This window comes from Homo sapiens, chromosome 1, assembly GCF_000001405.40.
Source record: "Homo sapiens chromosome 1, GRCh38.p14 Primary Assembly".
Taxonomy (NCBI): domain Eukaryota; kingdom Metazoa; phylum Chordata; class Mammalia; order Primates; family Hominidae; genus Homo; species Homo sapiens.
The window spans coordinates 97488438-97512199 of record NC_000001.11 but is presented as its reverse complement, the minus strand read 5'-3'; the positions used below and the strand labels follow the sequence as shown (position 1 = coordinate 97512199).

At 34.3% G+C, this 23762-nt stretch overlaps 1 protein-coding gene and 1 long non-coding RNA gene across 7 annotated transcripts in view; one reads left to right on the top strand and one right to left on the bottom strand.

The window, feature by feature from the left end:
• Positions 1 to 23762, top strand: part of DPYD (dihydropyrimidine dehydrogenase) — an 843317-nt gene that overhangs the window by 408860 nt on the left and 410695 nt on the right. The gene's annotated exons all lie outside the window — the stretch shown is intronic.
• Positions 3197 to 14550, bottom strand: LOC124904225 (uncharacterized). Its single transcript, XR_007066238.1, has 3 exons — positions 14473 to 14550; positions 4351 to 4465; positions 3197 to 3271 (listed from the first exon to the last, which is right to left on the bottom strand). It is a non-coding gene; the product is annotated as an uncharacterized LOC124904225 (long non-coding RNA).

The window sequence follows — 23762 nt, the reverse complement described above, 5'->3', positions numbered from 1 at the left end:
CAACCTTATACCCCATAGCACAAAGCTTAATGTATAGGAGAGGCTTGATAAATGTTTCATAAATATTCGCTGGATAAATGAATACATAGATTTTTTTGGCAAGAGCATATCGAGTTTATTTTTTTCCCAGTATATGAACAGACAGTTAACACATAAAAGAATTGAATGTTTTGAGTATTGATCTCAATCGAAGGAGAAAAGGCCAATTAAAAAATTTTCATATTCTATGTTGCTTTTCTATAGTGCATCTATACGTGTCTAAAAATGAAAATGTCAGTGAAATTTCTGAATGTATAGATTGTGGTTTAAGACTTAGATTGTTGTATAAGCCTTTAAAATGCAGAGAATTTTTGAGAAAACAGGGCAAGTATCACACAATATTAAGAAGATACGTAAAAATCGGCTGGCCTAACTTCTAACTGCATGTATTGGTAGTCCTGAGAGAAGAAATGTAACCTGTTCTTGAATGCTTTTAGTGACAAGGAATATACTACATCTTTAAGGCAATATAACCTGTATGACTGTAGAAAGATCTGTTTTAGAAATATGTTCCTTTTATTGACCCCATATCACCCTTCTCATAAATTTCATCCATGTTTTATATATAGTTCTGCCCTCTGATACATCATGGAATAAATAAGAGTAATATTAATATAAATGAATTATTTAAAATAAAATGTTGTTGTTGTTGTTTTCCACAAGTAAATAAATACGTTAGAAAAAAATCTAACAAATATGGAGAAGCAGTGTAGTGTGGGGAAAGGTACTTTGGCCTGGGAGGCCCTGGTCTTAATCCAAAGCTGCTTCTAAATCACTGTCTTGGACATGTGTAATATTATAGGTCATTGTTATAGTTGTTATCATTATTCACATTATTAGATACCCTATATTCAGTGCTTAGGATGTATAGACTAAATGTTTTTGTAAATTATTTCATTTAATCCTCACAATCTGTTTATAAGATAGATAGTATTGTTTTCAGATGAAATAATAGTCTGAGAAAGTTAAATAAATTGTCCAGGACTTAAGACAACAGTTATCTATTTGACTATAGTCATGTGGGTTGGCAATTTGGGCTCAGCACGCATGATCAGTTCTCCTACTTCACAGGGTGTCAGCTGGCCTCAATCATGCATTTACAGTTGGTTGTTTGGATCCCTGGGGATCAAGATGTTCCACTAATGTGTCTGGAGCCTCATGTGGGGCATATAGCAATCATGTGGGATTGCTATAATTGCGGAGATGGCTGAGCTTTTCTCTCTATCTCTTCATAATCTCTCTTGCCTCACAATGTCTTATCAAGGTGGCTGGTTTAGGTTTGATAAGGCTACTTCACAAGGCTAGTAGTGTTCTAGGAGGACAAGAGTGGAAGCTGAAAGATCTCTTGACACAAAGACTCCAAAGTCTACACAGTGTTACTTCCGTATTTTATTCAAAGCATGTTACAAAGTCAATGTATGTTCATGAAGTAGGTAAATACCATCCACTTATTGATAAAAAGAAGTGCAAAACCACATTACAAAGGGACATGCATAGAAGTAGGGAAGGATTATTGCAGCCATCTTTGCAAACAGTCCTAACTTGCCCTCTGATTAGAGCAATTCACATCCCTCCCAAATGTAAACTGCATCCACTCCTTTCCAAGACACCCAAAATATCATCTAATCATGGCATTAGGCTCAAGGTTCATTATCTTATGATCTTCATCAAGTCCAAATGCCTATGAGATTATTTGGTTTTAGTTTCTTTTTACTGAGGATTCTGTGATATAGAAAGACATGTTTTCTATCTTCCATATACCCAACACAAAACGATACAGTCAAGAGAACCACAGTAGATAAAATCTCCTTTAGAAACTGGAGAAATGGAAGGCACATAGCAATCACTTGTCCATAGCAATTTTGAAATTCAGTTTGGCACATATTTTCAGGGCCTCTTGCTCCAGGGATGGAGAATCAGGGTCCATTTATGCTCCTTGGTAAGGATGTCCTAATACATTTTTCCTATCTACTGTTGGCTCTGCCTTCTGGGCTACTGATTATCTCTGGGCTACTGGTTTTCTCCTCTGAGTTTTTTTTTTTTTGTTGTTGTTTGTTTGTTTGTTTTGTAAATGGCTAATGATGGCCCCTGTTGACAGCTGAGTAGTTTTGTCAGCCTGTTCCTGCCCAAATAAAGTTATAGCACCCTATTCCTCTCTTTGTTTTGAATTGTTTCTTTTAATCCTAACTCATGGTGATATCATCATAAAACTCTGTTAACATAATTTTGAATCTATTAAGGACTAAATTGATGCCCAAAGTCACATCCATAATTCTTTTTAAACAGATTTCTTTTATTTTTGGATATGCCTTGCTGTTGTGGTACAATGTCTTTAGGAATGTTAGAAGCCCTGAGAGAATCTACTAGGACCTGCCTTAGGTCTTTCTAAAGTCTTAACAAACTGTCTTACTGCAATATTCTTGAGATGATCTTTAAGGTACTTTATTTTGAGAACCTTTTTTCCATCTAGGAGAGAACAAATATAAAGAATAGTTTATTTTCTGACCCAGTGTGTCCTAGGTCCCTTGGATTCTGTCTGTTTTGCATGGCAAATTTAAATATAGCCTTATTTAGCTCTTTTCTCTCTTTTAGTACCTTATCACACTTGGGTAGAAACACTCAACTGAACACGTTCAGTGTTCTTTCTAGAGATGTATTATGTTCACTTTCTGTTTTCCAAATTATCACTGCTGACATTCTTGCCAATTGTTCTGTCACCACATAATACAGGCCACTTTTCCAACCCTCCAATAACAATTTTCATACCATATTTTAAACCTCTACAACAGTTTGTTCACCATTCTTCCAGCCTTTACTAAGATCTTACTCTTGGTTTTTCAAGGCTCTGCCTGCCTCACAATGCCAAAGCCAGGGCCACATGTTTTATATTTTGTTATGCTAGCAAACATAACCTATTTCAGCATCACGTACCTATTGCTGCATATCAGACAACCTTACCAAAAGCAGCAACACGTTTTCTGCTCTTGTTTCGACAGTTTGGCAGTATGGCCAAGGCTCAGCTGGGTTGACTTGCCTTTGCTTCACATGATATTAGTTCTTCTCACTCATGGATTTGCAATCAGTTGACAGACTGTTTGGTGGCTGGCTGATGGCCGGTCCTGGATGATTTCATTCACATGCCTGGGTCCTCAGCTGACGTGATTAGGCCTGTATCTCCGTATGGTCTTATCTTCAAAGAGACTACACTGGACTTGTTCACAAGTTGTCAGTGCTACAAAAAAGGCAGGAGGAGAAGTTGCAAATCCTCTTGATGCCAAGGCTCGGAAGTTGCACAATATAATTTTCATTGTGTTCCATTCTTTAGGGCACATCACAAGACCAGATCAGGTTGTAACAGCATGGAAATGGCCCCTCCCATCAAAACACTGAAATCCACCACGTCAGGATTTGAACCAAGGTCTATTTGATACAAATCCCTGCAATTTCCACTATATCATGCTTTTACATAATGTATCCTCTCTGGACCATATTACTTTATGTCTAAAATGAAGGCAGTTTGACTGCACTCATGTCTTCAGAGACTTAGAGTTCAGCCTGAGCATTTACACTGAGGACTTTCTACCCACTGCTTCGTATAGAGTGGCACCTATGCTTGTCTTTCTATTGAGAAATAAAAGTTGCACAGAAATTTTATATTTCTATGTGCAATTTCAGAGAGAATACAAGAGAGCATTTTGATTTAACAGCTTCTGTGAATCTGCTGTCATCAGAAGCCAATTTTTTGCCAGCCACACTGGCCCCCTTTCTAGTTCTCCAACATGGCAACTTCCTCCCTGTCTTAGGACCATTTTGCTTGGTGTTTGATCTGCCTGGAATGCTCTTCTCTCAGATATTTATATGACTGGCTCTTTTTTCTTAATCAGTTCTCAGATCAAAAGTTACCTCCTCAGAGAAGCTCTTGTTAACCATTCAAAACCCAGGCTCTCCATCCCACATTACATTGGTTGTTTTTTTCTTCACTGCACTTATCACCATATGAAATTGCCATGCTCTTGGACATCTATTTCTGTTTTAGCCACTTGAAGTAAGCTCTGTAAGTAGAGAGATATTGTCTTTCTTGCTCACTACAGCATGCCCAGTGCCAAGAACAATGTCTGGCAGATAGAAAGGACGCAATACATACTTGTTAGATGAATGAATAATTATAGTATTCTAATTTGAACCACAATTCCACATGACAGCTCTTCAGTTACTTGGAGACAGCTCTCATGTCCTATCCATAAGCCTTTTCTTTTTCCTTTCTAAATAGTTCTGTTTTTCTTTTCATAATAAGGTTTGCAGACTTTTTACCATGTAGGTTGTCTGTTCTCCCATGTGGATTCCAAGAAACTTGTTTCAATCCACATTATCTTAATTGAGAGGAAGTTGCTCCTGCGTTTGCACAAATTGCACAAATTGCCAGCACCTATCAACGAGATGAGAACTGAGGAATAACATTGTCAGGACTGTAAATGCTAAAGATAATATTTAAAGTTGAAAATTTCACAAACATGTCATGTAATAATATTTTAGAGCCTGGGTAATTCTCTATGGATTACAATACAAAACATCACAATTTATTTTTGAAACTCATTTTGGAAACCTTGTTAGAAATAAAGATCTGGATTTTTTAAAAAGATTAAATAAAACTGATTTACTTATTTATTATTAAGAGTTTATCTATTACCTCATCATGAAAGTCTATGAAACAATAAATTAACAATAGTCCAGTGCATTATTTTTGCTGCTATAGTTCTAGCTTCCAATTTTGTATATGATTATTTTCTATTTATTGCATAGTATTGTTTTCCTGATAATATACATTAACTAGGAGTTATAATTGTTTAAATAAATTCAATGTAAGCTTTTTATCTGGGAGACTTTTAACATGCTGAAAACTGAGATGACTTCTGTATACTAATAGTTTATCACCTAGCTAGGTTCTTATAACTTAGACGTATTTTATTGAAATTCATAAAATCAACTCATCCTCCAATTATAAAGAATTAGTTTATTAAATGGCTACAGTTCACATATAGTACTCCTATGGGACATTTCATCCAAGTGTTCACTTCAAGACTATTTAGCAAGCTCTTCTATGACGTAACCCTCATTTCTTCATCAACAAAAGAACCTGTATGTGTGCTTGCACACTCGTGTGTACACATTCAATATTGAAGCTAAATCTTGCAAGTTAGAATCTAATGAATACACCACTGTCTATCCTTAAAGTTTTAAATCAGTCTCTGTTCGCAATCATACCATGTTTGCCAGACTTAGTCTGTTAAGTAAAAAATATAGATTAAGATGCTTTCAAACACAATTTAATGCATGTATTTCGAATATTAAGTAAAAATCTTTTAATTATAGCCAAAGTAATATTTTTAACCATGAAGCAGACTAATCAATTTTCCAATATAATTACATCTTCACCACTTTCCCATTTCAGGCTGTGATTTCACACCTGTTAATTAGTTAATCATTTTGGTAGAGTGGACAAAGTGAAACTCAAATAGACTTTTTAATAATATAAATTGACGTGTACAATTTTGATCTGGGTTAGCTGGTAGATGAATCTAACTTGTAATGGAAAGTACCTCTTATTCAGTTTCCTTTTTTAAAAAAAGCAAGTGGTGTCAAGGTTAATGGAAAATTCTCATAATTATGGTTAATGGAAATTTCCTTAAAGTACAGTCCTGCTGTTTGAGAAACTGATTTTACCCTTATTCTGTCTCACATAATTCTTCTGTGAATTTTAAATTTAACCAGTTAAAAATCTCCATATTTTGGGTATGTTTAGATGATACAATCTTTGGTTGAAATTAGTTGGATTGAATTCCATAATATTCTCCTTGCCTTTGTATTTTCTTTATTGCTTTTTAATAAGATTCTAGTAACTACTATGTAATGATATTCTTTATACTCATTTTAAATACTTTATACCATGATTACCTTACTGTCAGATTTTTATTAAAGGCATACCTACATTGGCTATTTTGTTACAAGACTGACTCTGTTTTAGTAAAATTACAGTTCGCTGTATGCTCCTTTTTCCTAAAGGACTAGCAATGTGCTTAATGTTCAAGTACCACTATTTCTGAAATGAGGTGTCATGAGAAATAAAGTGTCACTAACTCAAGGAAGTTACTGGTGTGTTAGTTAAATATTCACTCAAACTGCCCTATCACACACCAATTACCTTTTCTTACCCCACTGCCTCATCTGCTTCTTTCACTTCAGCTAAGCCCATTGCCCTTTTCATCCTGCCCTGCTTTCCTCATTTGCATGTTTTTCTACAATATCTCATGTGTCTGAAACAGTTTCTCACTTCTATCCTGCCAAATTTACCCTCTATTTATGTGAAAAATTAGCTTAAAATGTCATTAAAGAAAGTACCATTTTTAGGTATCTGGGCAAGATTTGATGTATTTTGAGAGCTCTTATAATGTCCTTTTATATATACTATTTTTCGAGTGTGTGTTTGTGTGTGTGTATATGTGTGTAATGTATGGTATTCACTTTAGACAACTTAAACTGTAGTTCAGAAAATATATACACCAAAAGATGTAAGATGACTTAAGGCCACAGGAATTCTTAGACTAAAATGTTACTTAATACTAAAATGTTACTTAATATGCAATATTTTATTTTTTAAATTATTTTATAATTTTAATTTTTTAATAATTTTTTATTTTCAATATTTTATTTTTTTATTTTCTTCACATTTGAACTGTCTTTATTCTAGGGAGAAGGGATAGCACACGGATAGTCACGGTCATGAGAGAACCGAGCATATGTAAGATGCAGCATAATGTCTCATGAAATGTTATAAGTAGCTGTAGAGATAGTGAGAAAGGCCTGTGGGGTTAGGAATTTAAATGTTGTTGTATAAACAGGGAACCTGTTGTTAAGAGGTTTAAGCAAAGAAATTACATAATTCAATTTGGAAGAGACTGTTAATCATAATACAACTACTGTTTATCATTTCAACAATAACTTTCACTTCTCTCCTCATACAAACTCTCTTTTCTGACAAAACTGGTTTTATCACCAGGTTTATGTTTGCATCGTCTATACCTTAATTTTACCATTCTTTATCGGTAAGGAGACATTTATTGTTCTTCAAATATTAAAAGGCCAATGACCACCCAAGTCCCCTGGAGCTACATTAATCAATGGTTATCTTCTCTCCATTGTCTGAGCTCTTATAGAATTTTACTCAATGGACACAAGAGGGAATGGATTCCTTTTAAACTCCACCCCACCCCCCGGCCCCTTTCCTGAATGGAAGCCTTTGGAGATCAGATCTCGTGACCACCAGGCCCTGCAAAGGGAACCTGCTGACTGACTACCTCCCTCCTCTTATCAACCAGTTTTATTTTGCAATGTAATACATTGTTCAGCAATATAATGAATTTTAAATTGATAAATATTATTACCTCTTGAAGAGTATTTTCACTTTCATGGCTAAATATAATTTTGTACAGCTATAATATTCCTCTTTAGGAGACATACTTTTGTTTAGACTAACGTTTATCTAATGGGTACCTCCAAGCATTCTTCAAAAATACTTCCCATCACTTGGGAACTCTTCCCTATGGTGCTTTTGAATCTTTGGTCATAGCTTGCTCTCTAGGAAACTCCTAGGAAGCTATTGAGTAACTTAGCTTTTCTCTGCTGCAACACATTTGCCTTTCCAAGGGACCATATTGAACAGAGCTTAAGGTGACTTCACATTACTTATTTAAATATGGGTCCCTTAATTGGTCCACAGGAAAATCTTACATTTCCTTTCCCCTGACAAATTCTAGGAATATAGGCTAGTTGCTGTACAGTTGCATCTCTTTTAGCTCATCTTTTAGCAACAGACAACTCACACCTTTTCGATATATCAAGCAGAGTGGGACACTGTATACGGTGCACCAACCTCCAAAAAAGAAAATAAAACTGCGGGGAACACATATAAAGTGCTCTGAAGGGTCCCTTTTAAAAGCTGTCTCTCAGGATTTGGGATGACAGTGGGACTCATATAATCCCAGAAGCATGCTCCAAAGAAACCATGTCATAATCTCCAACATCCATCCCTAACTTTTTGTTAACATTTTGTTTCCATATTGGAGTGAAGGGTGTAAGAGTTCCCTAAGCAGATTTTTGTTATCTACTTGAACATTTCTGTAAGGGAAAAATTTATTTTTGTGATTTATCTCAATGCCCCTTAAGGTCTCAGCCAAAATGTATATTTTAATATTCTGTTGCATTAATAATATCCATATTGAATTTTACTTATGGACATTTAGTATATGAAAATGCATTATTTAAAAACCCTTACATTTCATACAACTATTTGCATATAGAGATTTTTTTTTCTGGATTTTGTCAGTAACATTTAATTTTTTTAATATGGCAGCAGGTTTTAGTTCAGATCTTCCAAGAAACCGTTGCCAAGATGTGATTAAACATGCATGGATTTGATTAGGTGAAATAATTGTGGGAGACAATATGGAGGGTGTTGAGGAGGACTGGGAGAGCCATAAGACAGCAATAGAAGTCAAGCCATACATTGGGGAGAGAAGAAAGAAAGGTTGAGTAGGAGCATCATAGAGTGCCTTGCAGACTGAGAAAGCTTCGACAAAGCCATCTAGAGTCTTCATGTCTCTCAGGAAGGGGCCTGCTTAGTATCTCTGCCCTGCTCAGTCATTGGCTAAGCCACAGGAAGCATGGCTGCAGTGAAAATCCAGGAGTGGATTCATTCACAGCACAGCAGCTGGGGTCCTTGCTCAGTTATACTCCTGATAGTTGGAGTTACGTGAGATTGCCACAAAGATATTTGGATCTTTTACAATACTCAGCATAAGGTAGGCAGCCACTTAGTATATGGCTTTTAAATGGGGGGAATAAACAAACATTGGTGTGATTTTTGGACATCTCCTGTTGATCAATATAAAGAGAAATATTGTATAGACAACAGAGATCCACAGGTAAATAAAATGTATACAAATATTATCTTATTAAGTATTATAATATGAAAAGAGAAAAACAAGCTTGCATGCAGAAGGCTAGAGAGGCACAATATACTCTTAAGTTTTAAATTATGGTTTTCATAGTGAATCATACTAGTTATTATTGAAACGTTACAGTTGTCTCCCTTTGTTTTGAGAAAAGTGTTGAGGGTTACCTCTTCTGTAAGTAATTTGACTGTTAATAAATTAGTTAACTTATCTAAACTTCCACATGTTGAATTACAAAATAGACCATAATACCTGCTCTGCCTTTTTACAGTATTCTAGTGAGGCTTAGATTGAATTTTTTTTAAATAAATATATTAAAATGATTCGTAACATGTAAAATACCCTGTCAATAAAAGTTATAATTCTTATTACCATAATCTGTATGCCAGACTAAAACATTAATAGTTATGTGATCAGTTATTAAAGGGTAGAAAGTCACTTCCCATCTCCACTGGTACCACCCACATCACAGCCCCCATCATTTCTCACAGAATAGTATACCAGCTTCCTAAAAGAGTCTTGCTGCTTCTACTCTTATCCTAAATTCCGGCCTCCACACCACCGTCAGAGTGGACTTTGACATCTTAAATCAGATCGTGGCTGTTTGCTTAAAACATTTCAATGGCTTCTCTTAGCCCTTAAAATAAAATCCAGAATCTTTGTACAAATCATGTCAGCAAACAGCTCCTGCCTGTCTCTCGGTCCTCATCTCATTCTACTTTACCTGGTACCAATAAGGCCACAATGGACTTCTCTAGATTCCTCCAACCTGTGGCCTTTCAATAACTGTTCTTGCTGGTAATTTTCAGGCCCTTACATTCAAAAAGAAGAAAAAGAAAATTGCTGCTAATGGCAAAGTTTAGATAATGCAGAAATAATTATGTTGTCATAGTGGTTTTATACTTATGGAAGTTTATCAGGTGTTAGAAAATGTATGTGGCAGTTAACCAATTAAACTATGAAGGAGTGGTCACAAATTCTTTCCTCCTGTTCTTTTTGGTTAACAGAAGATCTTATGACTTTTAAATCATTCAATAAAATTTATCCTCTTCTGTAATATTTCTGAAAGAAAAGCGATAAAGGATCATTCTTTGTTACAGTTGTTGGGATCTCATTAGTTACAAGTCATGAAATCTCGAGATAATGGAAAATATTTTATATAGGTCAGAAATTGCATTACAAAGAGCAGTGGGTATTATATGACATATACATGACCTCAGAGGAATACATTTGTAAACATGCTTTTCTATGTAAAATTAATGTGTTAATTTAAATGTTAAAATCATGTAACTCATGTAAAGTGTTAATGTAAACATTAAAATGCTGAGGTGTGATTTCTTCGTAGCTGACTCAAAGAAAACTAAAAAACGCTTCCCTACCCCAGAGCACTTTTTATCAGTGTTTGTAGGATTTGTGTCTACAACTGCTATTAACATGAGTAAGATTTCTTTTTTTGAGACAGGGTCTCATACTGTCATCCAGGCTGGAGTGTAGATTCACTGTATCCTTGAACTCCTGAGCTCAAGTGATCCTCCTGTCTCAGCCTCCCAAGTAGCTAGGACTATAGGCGTGCACTACCACACCTGGCTAATGTGTTTCTGTTTGGTTTTGTTTTTAAAGACAGGGTGTTGTTATGTTGCCCAGGCTGGTCTCAAACTTCTGGGCTCAAGTGATCCTCCTGTGCTGGCCTTCCAAAGTTCTGGGATTATAGGTGTGCGTCACTGCACCAGGCCACATTAATTGGATTTAATTGAGTAGATCTCTGATACACTGATTGAAAATTTACTCAAGTTACTATAGGCAGAGCCAATCGGGGGTATAATTCATAGTAAATTTAAAGTGTTTTACATTAAAACATGAAATAGAACATATTAAGAAGTTGGCTCTATAACCATTTTGAAGCAGATATTAAAGTAGTTTTAATGTTAGACTTCTGGTATTAAATAAAAGACAAGTTTATAAACAGTTCAGTAATTGGACAGGCTCCATATTGATTTTTTCCTTTGTTATATAATATTACCCACTTCTCCGTCCAGAACTATGTCGTACAGGGTTTCAGAGTGCTAGAAACATGGTCGCTGTTGTGTATTGGAATGTTGGAATGTGCAAAGACTGAAAGGCTGTCACAGCAGTCAATAAGATCTGAGAGGTGTTGACTAATTGCCTGCTAATTACACAGTAAATTGTCTAATTAAGCTGATGGTTAATTAGGGTACGCTTGCACAGCAGTCTTGTGGAATTTGTGTCTGATGTCTGGGAAGCAGCTTGTATAATTGGCAAACTGGTAAGGACTGGCAGAGAACATGACTGGAAAACTCCCTGCCAGTGGATGACAGAATACGGATTTAGTGGAAACAAAAGGGTTGTCATTTTTGTACTGAAGGTTTTGTTTCAGTTCTGCAGCTATTCTGCAGTGAGCAATTGAGAAATGCATCTGAAGCCTAAATTACGTGAGTAAAAGAAGGCTTAAAATGTGTGTCAGAATGTAAAATATGCTGCTTGCGTGGCATGTATCACCTCTGATACACTATCTCACATTATATTAATCTACGCCTTGTATGATTCTACAGTTCCTCCTTTTAACATATATATTTGGCAAAAAATAAAAAACGATAATCCCATGCATCTAAAACAATGCCTCTTTTATGAAAATATAAGATAACAAAATGACTGATTAGAAGACATTTGAAATAAGAGCTTTGAATTCATTATTTAATTATTAATTTATATATCACTGTGAATCATAAAAATATTAGACATGATACAAATATAAGTTTGGATGATATTTTAACTGAGTAAAAATTGTATTTGTAATGAGAGCATTTTCATTTTACTGTTTATGCAGTTTTGTCATGCAACTGGATTTTGCCTGTAGTTTAATTTGTAAGAAAAAATATTTCAATACATAATTAAATGTATTTGATTTCTGTGTGGATGTGAGTGGTGTTTGATGAATTACCTGTAAAATTTGAGTGCCTTTAAAACTAAAAGTTCTAGAAGTTTGCTTTGTTGTTTTTATTGTTCTTTGTAGCTGAGGAAGTTTAACTTTTCATTTCAATAAGTCACCTATGGCTGAAATACTAACATAAAAATTCACCCTGCAAATAAATTAAATGAATCCATTGGAGAATATAGGTCCTTTACAGATGATGTTAGGTACATACACATTGCCTCTTCATAAGAGACCTGAATGTAAATGATTGCCTCTATTACCATTTGCCACCCAGATTCATCATATTTTGAGGATTTTGCAATAAGACTTTGAATAGAACATTAGGTTGCAGTTGTAACAAAGAACCACAAGTTCACAGTGACCCTTGGATTGACTTACACTATTGTGTAAATAAAACTTGAAAAACTTTTCAGTATTTCCAAACTAGATTACTAAATAAAAATTGTATTTGTAATGAGATAAGAAGGCCTAAATTAAATTATAGTATCAAAAATTGTTGTGACTTTCTTATTAAATAAAATAAATTTCCCTTTGTTTTGAGAAAAGTGTTGAGGGTCACCTCTTTTGTAAGTAATTTTTGTAAGTAAGTCTGTATGTGATTAGATAGATATGGATGTTTTTTTGTTCCCGCTGTTCTCCAAGGAGAATTTGAAGTTGTATATATACTATATATGTTTTTAGATAGAGAGAAATACACATCATGCAGTCTCTGAAATGTCTTTGCCTTAGCATTAATCTTGGAGATATATGCATAGTAAATGAAAATATTTACTGTTTTAACACAAAAGGTGTTTTTCAATGTTCTAAAATACTAGTTCTCAGACATAAAAATGGATGTAAAATAAAAATATTTATTTCAAGAATGTAGAAAAATTATATTCATTCCATTTGAAGCATAGGTTACAAAGTCTTGGAAGACTTCATAAACAAATTATTCAAGATAGCAGAAAAATGAATTTACCAAATTTACCAAAGGAATACAAGGCTAAACAAACAGAAATTTGTTTTATTTAAAGATATATTCTGTTTTAAATAAACAGAAATTGTTTATTTAAAGATATATCTCCTGAGGGAGAAAAATCAGATAGAGGTCAGTGCTGTAACTCCAACCCATCTATATTTTGATCCACTCAACTTTTCATCTTAGTCCTCATGAAAATAACTTTTAAAGTTATTTATTATAAGTTATAAAGGTTTACATAAAAGAAATACCAAGTAGATCTATCAGTGAAATTAAGGTCTTAGAGAAGAACTCTTTATAAATCATAACTTTTAAGAAAAAATATTTCTTTATGTTTACAAATAAATTTCAATGTTGTTTTCTATTAAATTTTAATCTATTTCAATACATTGTATGTTCATTATCACTAAGAATAAATTTCTAATGTTCTAATCACAAAAAATGTTAAATATTTGAGGTGATGGATATGTTTGAGGTGATATGTTAAATGGTTTAATTTAATCTTTCCACATTGTATTCAAAAGTCATGACACCACTTTGTATACCATAAATATATGCAACTATAATTTGTCAATATATAAAAAATGTAAAATAATTTTTAAAATGTAGCTGGCTTCCATTAATATATAGCCATCACAAGAGTGAATTCTGTATATCATGATTTTATGCAATTATCTGTTGAGAACTTCATGTAATACTTTACTTTGGCTTTTAAATAAGTACACACACACACACACACACACACACAGAGAAAGAGAGAGAGAGGCAAAGTACTGTGTGTGTATATTTAGTGTAAAGACAGTTTCTCTTTTAACCACTTGGAAAGCTTTATCCCTGTAATTTAAAAAATTCAGAATACGAAAATATAATATTTAGTGTTCTTAACCATCAACTTCATCTCCAGAATTATTTGTTTTTATAATTTACGTATAAAATCCATTCTTTAAAGTGTAACTTTTCATGGTTTTTAGTATATTCACAAATGTGTATCCATCATCACTATCTAATTTCAAAACATTTCTATCACCCTAAGAAAGAAACTCCATACCCATTAGCAGTTACTCCCCATTCCCCACATCCCGCAGCCTCTGGAATCCAGTAATGTATTTTCTATCTCTATGGATTTACCTATTGAGTACATTTGATATAAACAAAATCATATAATATATGACTTTAATGTCTGGTTTCTTTTATGTATTTAGTATAATATTTCAGGGTTTACCTGTGTTGTAGCATTTATCAATGTAATGCTTCATTTCTTTCTGTGGATATACCACTCTTGTTTATCCATTCATTAGTTCATAACCCTTCATGGGGTATTTTTCTACTTTTACCTATTATAAATATTTCTTCATTCATATGTAAGTTTTGAGGGGAGATACATATATATTCAATTCCCTTTGGAATATAGTTAGGAGTGGAGTTTCTGGGTAATATGGTAACTCTATTTTTAACTTTTTGGGAATTGCTAAACTGTTTTCCAAAGCAGCTACCCCAATTTACATTCTCACCAGCAATGTATGATATTTCCAGTTTCTTCACATACTCGCCAACATTGTTGTTTGTTGTTCATCTTTTTTGTTATAAACTTCATAGTGGGTATGAAGTTGTTTCCCATTATGATATTGACTCCTAGTGTTATTGATAAGTAGAAAAAGTAAAAATATGAAGGCCTAATAATTTCCTTAATATTCTTATTAACAATCATTGTGGCAACTGGTTAATATAATTGACAGTTAAAGTAGCTTCCACTTTCCATATTTTTTTCCCCTTATTCAGAAAGTGTGGTCATCAGGGGCAATTTGACCCAGTTCTGTTAGAAACATGGTGTAATAGCAAATCTAAAAATAGAGTTTTGGAGTTACAGGCAACTTCCAAAGAATAGCTAGTTATATAGGTTCTTTGCCGTTGGAAGAAAGTGTTACAGGATCATCTATATTCAATGAGTAGTCTCTTACTGTTTATATATAGTTCAAAGAAATGAATAAATATTCCTAGCTAAATTTTGAGCAAAACATACAGAATTAGAAGCCAAAAGGAAAGCATTTAATATACTGTAGATAGCAAGGAGAAAGATCATTACTCTAGGAGTCTGAATCAATTGTCGTTCCCTGCTCACTTCTGCCCTGCTTGGTAATTTTATCATTCTAGATATAATAGCACAGACTGTGAGTGTTAAAAAAAGACTTGCCTGAGATCTAGCTTGAGTCTAAGAGCTTTCATTTACAGATAATGAAAATTATTCTTTAATCAAAAGATTTGTTCAAATTCATTTGGATGGCAATAGAGTGCTCTTAAACCACATACTTGGCCCCCTTAGCATTGTATTTTTATAGTATTTTATACTCTGTGTAATTTGTTTGTTCATTTTTATAGATCATGTATTGTATAACAATAAGATACAATCCTGGTTCTCAGAGAACCTAAAATCTAGATGTGATGTGCGTGAGAAAACATGCTATGAGAGAATTAGAAACGAAGAGCTATAAAACTACAGAGGAAGCACCAAACCAAGCTAGAGCAAGGAATGCCATTGGAAAAAAGATGATACCAAACAGTTGCCCTGCATAGTGCCTGTCCAAAGAATAGAGAATACATTATAGATGAATATCATGAGCAAAGTCAGAGAGAAAAAGAAAGCCCCGTAAAAATGGGTGTTTACTTTCACTGGAAGGATGATGTAGTGAGAATAAGAATTAGAATGGAACCACATAATAAAGGCCCTTGTTTGATCATCAAAGAGAGTTTGAACTTTATCTTAAAGGATAATGAACTATATGCAAAGAAGGATAAGACAGGCTTGGATGTGCATTTTAGAGAGGATTATCTGATAATAGTGTAGAAAATAGTCACAAGAGTGAGAGCAGATGAACATGTTCATTGACAAATTATTTCTAGGCAATGTGCTTGGATGTTGAGGATAGAGTGGAGAGGAATATAAGGCCCTAAATTCATGGAGCTTACAGTGTAATACAGTAAGGAAGAAAAGATATTGGCTCAAGGTTGTATCTAGAGCAAAGTGAACGTATTTGACATGTATAAAAGAGAGTAAAGTAGCAGTCCTGGTGACTGATTGCATGAGGCTAGATATGGGAAGAGAGAAGTTAGGAAAAACTCTGGTATCTCTGACTTGCCAGCTGTTTATTGTTGTTTTGCAAAGGAAGTGAACATAAGATGAGAAAAACATGGTTACTATGTTCTGTGCAGTTACTGAAGCAGGACCTTTCAATATCAAAAGAAAACTGTCAATAGGTACTTTTATTCTCCAACTATAATGATGTCAAATATTTGGAAAGAAAAGGTCAACCTAATAAAGGACCTGCAGTTATTAAAATTGATCTGAAAATGTTAATAATTTTTCAGATGTGATATAGGTACTAATGCAGAGTTCTAAATTTCAAATTCTATTTAATTATTCTAAAATTAGATCTAAAACTAACATAGAAAGGGGAAAAGTTAAATAACAGAACAGGATGTTAAATCAATATGATTAATTAACTTGATATAAATAACTTGAGTATTGCTATGTTTATCTGTAAATCATTTATCATGATACCAGCTGTAAAAGAAAATCTTAATAATAATGATAATGATGTGTGTCATCCTCCCACCCAGCAGAGGTGTCATGACAAATTGTTAACAAACTGTCTTACAGCACTTCACAGATTCAAATGCTAATGTAATAATAATATAATCAATAATAATAAAATCAACAATATAACAAACCATTTTGATGTGGCTTGGGAAGAGAAATTTATTAAAACATTGAGTTCACATGAATAAAGTTGAAAAACAGAATGATTTACCCTTTTAAGTCTGTATTTACATTTTGACTTTTAACTTTCAATGAAGGGAAGAGGGAGCACAAAGAAAGGACACTGCCTGAAACTCTTAAAATCTGATTTCTGTATTCTTTCTGGACATTACAGAAATTAATCTACATATTTTCATCCAACTGTATCTCCCCAAAGTATGTTTTGACATCTCTCTCTCTCCTGCTTATCTGCAGGAGAAAGGCCATAAATCTTAGCATGCCTACAATGCCCTCTCTCATCTTAACTTTCTCTTAGTCTTAATTCCTCCCACCAACCTCTTCCCATAAAGGAGACACAATAACAGAAGCCTTAACATGTTTAAAATATTTGTCCCTTTGGAACCTGATAAAATTTCTCAGACTTCACATGATGTTTTTGTTATTCAATCCACAAACTATGATTGTGCACATGGATGCGCAGGCCGCTCATTACTCAAGGTAAAACTGCCTGAGGGTGCCATGCACAGTCTCTGAAGATGGCTTGTGCTTTTCTGCCCCAGCACTTGTGCATGCATTGTGCTCGTATCTGAAGAGCTCTGCCCAGTATTTTGACTTTTGAGAATACAATTCATCCTCAGGAGCCGGCTTAGATGTGACCCACCCTGGAAGCTTTCTTTTATCTTAAAATTATGTGTGTGTGTGCGTATGTGTGTGTGTGTGTGTGTGTGTGTGTTTTCTTTTTTGAGACAAACTTTCACTCTGTCATCCAGGCTGGAGTGCAGTTGCATGATTACAGCTCACTGTAGCCTGATCTCCTGGGCTCAAGAGATCCACCCGCCTCAGCCTCCTGAGCAGCTGGGACTACAGGAGTGTGACACTATGCCTGGCTAATTTTTGTATTTTTCATAGATTTGGGGTCTTGCCATGTTGCCCAGGCTTAAAGTTGTGTTCTTATAAACTGTAGGAGTCCTAGAACCGCCTGTGTTAAGAGGAAAAAGACAGAAATTGCAATGAAATTGCAAATCTGCCACTAACACACTATGAAGCCTTTTAAAATGAGATAGGTGAACCAGCTATCAGCTCTTTTCAGTTCTATCATGCTAAATTTAAATTCTTTTTTTTAAGCTGAGCATGGTGGCACATGCCTGTAGTCCCAGCTAATTAGCAGGCTAAGATGGAAAGATCACTTGAGCCCAGGAGTTTGAGGATGCAGTGAGCTATGCTCGCACCTCTGCACTCCAACCTGGGCAACAGCAAGACCTTATCTTTAAAACAAACAAACAAAAATTAAAACATTTTAAATTTTTTTAGAGTTATCTGTATACCAGGTCCATTTTCCTCTGTGAAACTAGCATTGGGTAGTTATTGTGTATATATTATTTGTCAAGCATTTCGAAAGCCATATAATTTACATTTTCTCTTTTACTACTAGCAACTCACTGTGGTAGATGTCATAATCTCCACTGCATGGATAAACTGAGCTTTAATAATTTCGAATTCCTCTCTTCTGTCTGTCCCTACAGTCATATCTCAGTTCCTTGAACACAGCAGATACTCAACAAAGACTGAGTTGCCCTCTTCTATCTTGTTAGAGTTTTTTGCTTCCAGATGGAAATGATGTGATTTATCACATTATAGAAATCGATCAATAATATTTGTGTGCTATCATTTTGCTGCGGGTAGAATTTAGGTTTCTGTAGGTTTTTAAGAAAGAAATGAGAAACTTGTTAAAAGGTTTGCTGTGGGCCTCTTTTTAATTCCATTATTTTAGGGCACCAGCTTTCTCCCTTTTGAGTCCCATAGCTCATGGGACCATGTTTGGCTATTCATTGACAATCATTGTTTTGTTTTCTCCACCTCCCTAGTCTTCCCTCCAGTAAGATGTTTTACATCCCATGAATCATAATTCCCAGTTCTTGGATGAAAATTGCTCCACCTGACATTAACCAAGTTTACTAGCAAGATCCTGTATTAGGTAGAGCAAATTCAAAGCCAGGAGCCCTATGGAGAAGGCAATGACCCTGATCTCACACCTTTACTTCTTAAATCTTTAAAGACAAAAATAAATTTCAAAGGCAATGAAAAAGTTTTTTCTGATTTGAACTCCTCTGGGCTCTGGATTTCCATGGCTTCCTTCATGGCTTGTGTTTTAGTACAGTGGTATGAATATGAAAACCGTTAGTACGAGGGGATTATCCTCTCTCCAGTGCTCTCTGCAATATTTTAAAGGTGTCCCAACATTATAGGTTGCACTGAAATAAGACAGCCTACTTGGTATTACATTCTGTATTCATATTTACTATAAAATGTCTTGCTAGAGCATATTCCTTAACTTCCTGTAGAGAAGGATGTAATGTACAACAGAGAAGTGCATTTTTTAGAAACACTGAAATGAAAGTTGTTGATTTTAAAAGACATCTTGTCACAGATGAGTGAGGGAGAAAGAGATCAAACCAGCAAGTCTAGCCAATCCAACGTTTCATTCATGCATCTCTTCGGCTTAGTGCTTTCCCCTTCGGTATCATTAGCATTTTCATTTCGAAAAATGACAGTCTGCAGTGGAAGCAGTAAAAATGTTCAACCTGTGGTTTAAATTATTGATTTTTTAGAATATTGAAGCAGTATTTCAAATGGATTTTGTTAGAGATACTTCTGGGTGGGGGGTTTCAAAGGTAATTTGATACCCAAAAGCCTGTATATTTCAAAGAGTTTCCATTTTTTTGAATTTCTTTAGACTCTGGATGATTGGATAAAAATGTTTATTATCTTCAGGATTGTAAGTAGCAGATCATTGCTGCTTGAACTTGAAACATATATTTGCAGACTGTGCTCTTCATGATTTATTGTGCATGCTCATTCTGTGATCAACTGGCAAAATAAATCTTCATTTAGAAACAAAAGCATTTTAAAATAATGGAAAAGATACTATGATCTGCATACGTGGAACGTCAATAGTCCAATTGATAGCTAGTTTACTGTAATAAAGCATGCAAGGGTGGTTCTATAAGAATGGATTTTAATGAAGTTCCTCAAATTGTGTTATGTGAATAGGGAGTAGAGTGTGACCACAGAGATTTTCCTTAAAGTCATTTTAAGTCTCTCACCACAGTCAATACTTACATATGAACAGAAAATATTTTGACAAGGACCAGGATTACTGACTGCTGTGTGTATGCTGTGCAGGTAGTTTGCTATTCGCAGCATGTTTCTCCTTATGGAAAAAAAGCTACTTAAAAAATTACATTATATCAAAATGCCTTGATCTGCAATCATTCCACAAGTCCAAGCCCTATTGAAGTCAATGAGGGCTTGGAGTACAAATTTATGACTATATCGAGCTTAATATGTGGAGATTTGCACTATATTTTGTAATGTCAAATATCACATAGCAATGAGATGACACAAATTTGAAATAAAACCTGATATCCCCCTTTGACAAGTGGAAATGAATTAAAAATACAGTATCAGAAGAGATCTTTTTGAGGCATTGAAACATAAAAGGGAAACCTGCCGCAGAATACATGAGATGTATCCATAATAAGCCCTGTAACATTTAAACCAACTTGTAAATGCCTTTCCAAAGGCAGTGCTACCCCGGAAGTTGGTTGGAGAATTGCTGAATTTGCTACTATTGGGGAAAAACATGTTTAATATGATGGTGCAAAACCGTAAGATCAAATCTTTTTGTATAGCAACCCCCTTTTCATCTAAAAACTTTATATAATAGACAATATGATTAAAATAGCTTTAACAGCCTTTAGAGATAGAAGTTTTAAATATTTTCATATTGTTTATATTGTTATTTGTTGAAATTTTAGTTAATAAAACTGAGGCCCAGAGAATTAAGTGTACTATTCAGCATCATTCAGCTGTTAAATAAGGAAGCCAGCATTCTTCCTTGGTTTGTATAATTGCAGAGCCAGTGCTTTTCTGCTACACAACTCTGTTTCATTAAAGATGTCACTGAAAATTGGCCTCAAAATCAGCTTAAAAAAGGAAATGAAGACACAGAAAAGCAGTGAGCCCTCATGGTTACGTAGTATATACAAAAATTAGTTATTTTTCAGTTTCAAGGGTGAAGCCACTCCTATCTGCCCCCTTCCTCATTCCATTAGGTGCTTCCCTCATTTAAAACTATTCCTGTGCACTTATATCCCAGGCACCATGAAGGAATTAACTCACTGAACCTCTGCAACAAATCTATGCAATATATATTCTATTCATATTATTATTATATCTTATATTATTAGTGGTATATAATATACAAATATATAATAATATACTAATTATATTATATATAATATACTACGAATAATGTATATTTTATTATGTAGTATCTATATTATGAAATAATATATCATTAGGTTAATATATTATATATTAACAAATTTTTACATATTTATATATTATAAATATTTTTAAGTCATTAGATCATTTTATGAGAGATGGAAATACAATTGCAAATTTTAATCTTAGAAGTATATGCAGAATTTTATATGCAATGTATATATTCACTATTTAGTTACATCTTTTAAATACTAAGAAAAATAGCAAATCAGTAGCTTACTGCAGAAGAGCAAATGTAGTAAAATAAGTATTTAGTGAAAGGTGTAGCCATCTTCTAAGCTTGAAAATCAGTTTTTTGGTTTTTTTTTTTAGCATTACATTTCAGGGCAATAGTATTACAAAGTCTGAATCTTAATTTATTCAGAGAAGAAATTAAGTTGAGGAATTCCACCTGATTGCAGATATTAACCAGTTGTTGGCAGTAGACTTGTCCACTCATGTTATGCTTCTTGAAACTGTACACCTAAGTTCACCTTCTGGTGGGGGCCCAGATGTACCAATTTGTGTTTCTATTTTTTCTTTTCTTTCTCTTTTATTCTAGAGATTAAACATCCAACATTCCCTGAGATGCATCCTCTTTTTGCCTTCTCTCTGCAGCCTCTAAATATGAATAATACATATTATATTATTAATATAATTATTAGTAATTATAACACAATATACTATTATAGTATATAATTAGTACGTTATATAATACTTATACAATTATTAGTGTGTTATACTAATATATAATTGTAATATATGTAATATATATGTTAATAATATATATGATAATATAATATACTATGTAATATATAATATATTATCAGTATATTCTATATTATATTAGTAGTAGTATAATAATAAAGGATGAAGGTATGAGACAGAATGGTTGTTCTTGATAAAACTGTTAGTAAGCGGTATAGCAGATGAGATTTCTACTATAAGGAATTGTCAATATGCAGTGAGTTGATGATGACAATGACAGCTTATGGTGCATTTATTATGTGGCAGGCAGTATTTTAAGCATCTTTCATATACCATTTCGTGTAAGTTTTCACAATAGCACTATGGAGTAGAGGTAGTATAATTATTAACACTTTACAGGAAGGAAGCTGAGTCACAAAAGGGTTAGTGACTTGCGCAACCAGGAACACATTGTTGTTTATTTGGTGTAATGATGAAAGTACTAAATACATTTCTTAGCCTCTAGTGAGTCCTCAAAAAATATTATAGGTATTAATGTTAAAGGCTATTTCTAGAGCATTAATAAAGTATTAATACTTGTTGAATGAATAACTAATGAATAATCCCACCTCTGCAATTTATTAGCTATGGGACTTTGTGCCAGTTTTATTTAAAATGCTAAGTTTGTTTTCTTATTTGTAAAATTATTATAATGAAATAGGAATATTGTAATTTACTGAGTTCATGCATGTGTCAAGTACTCTTGTAGCATGTAACAGAAGTAAAACTTTAGCAAGTACTCAGGGCATAGTAAGTACTCAACAAAGGCTATCATTGTTAATGTAGTTTTTCATCCTTATTTTAATAGGACAGGAGTAACCAGGACAATAACCATAGGTCAAGGCTGTGGTGTGTCCTGGTGTAAGTGTACCATGTGTATTGTCTACCACAAATATTGATGTTGATAAAATTTGCCAATCTTATGAAAATTTTCCAGTATTACTTTTATTCCTTTGTATGTGTGTGTATTTAGGTCTAGACAGTTTTATCACATGTAGTAATAATAAGGATGGAACCCTCTGGGAGTATTGTGTATAGATGAGCATGGCTGGTCAACATTTTCCTACCTTTATTGTGCTAAATTCATCCATTCTTTAGATTTGAGCTTTTTGCCTTAACTTCAAGGTAGGAACATGAGCTCAGGTGTTAAACCTGGTGCGCTTGCTTAATGTAGCACATACCAAAAATTCTGTGGTTCCGTGAAAATATATTTTTCCTCACAATGATTACTCCTAAAAACAGGATTCCTGATATCAGTGAGTGTAAATAGTTTAACAAAGCTATGGGTTGTCTCTTCAACTACATTTTTTGTACTCAAATAGTGGTGATGATGCAGGTCAGGCAAGCCCCCAAATTGGGGCTCAGCCCGGGAGGGTTCTTGGCTTTGCCTAGGAATGAATTCAAGGGCAAGCCAGAGGTGTTAGCAACTTTTACTGAAGCGGCAGCATACACAGCAGCAGAGGTACAGCTCGTTGTGGAGCAGGGCTACCCCATAGAGAGTGTGCCCAGAGCAGCAGCTGAGAGGCAGTTCTGCAGTCATATTTATACCCACTTTTGATTACATCCAAATTAAGTGGCAGATTATGCCGAAATTTCCAAGAAAAGGGTGGTAACTCCTGGATTGTTGGGTTGTTGCCATGGAAAGGGGCGGTAACCTTTGGCTGTTACTATGGCAATGGTAAACTGACATGGCACACTGGTGGACATGTCTTGTCTTGTGGAAAGCTGCTTCTGCCCTGGCCCTGTTTTAGCTAGGTCTCAATTGGGTCTGGTGTCTGAACCCTGCCTCCAGAGTTGAGTCCTGCCTCCTACCTCAGTGTTACCTAGTTATAGGCATGATTCTTCTGACTTAGCACTTGTAGGTTCACAGTAATTTGAGGTAAGCTTATGAAGTACAGATTAAACTTACAAGAGCACAAATATTGGATTAATATAATTTGCCAATCTTATGAAGATTTCCCTGTTTTACTTTTA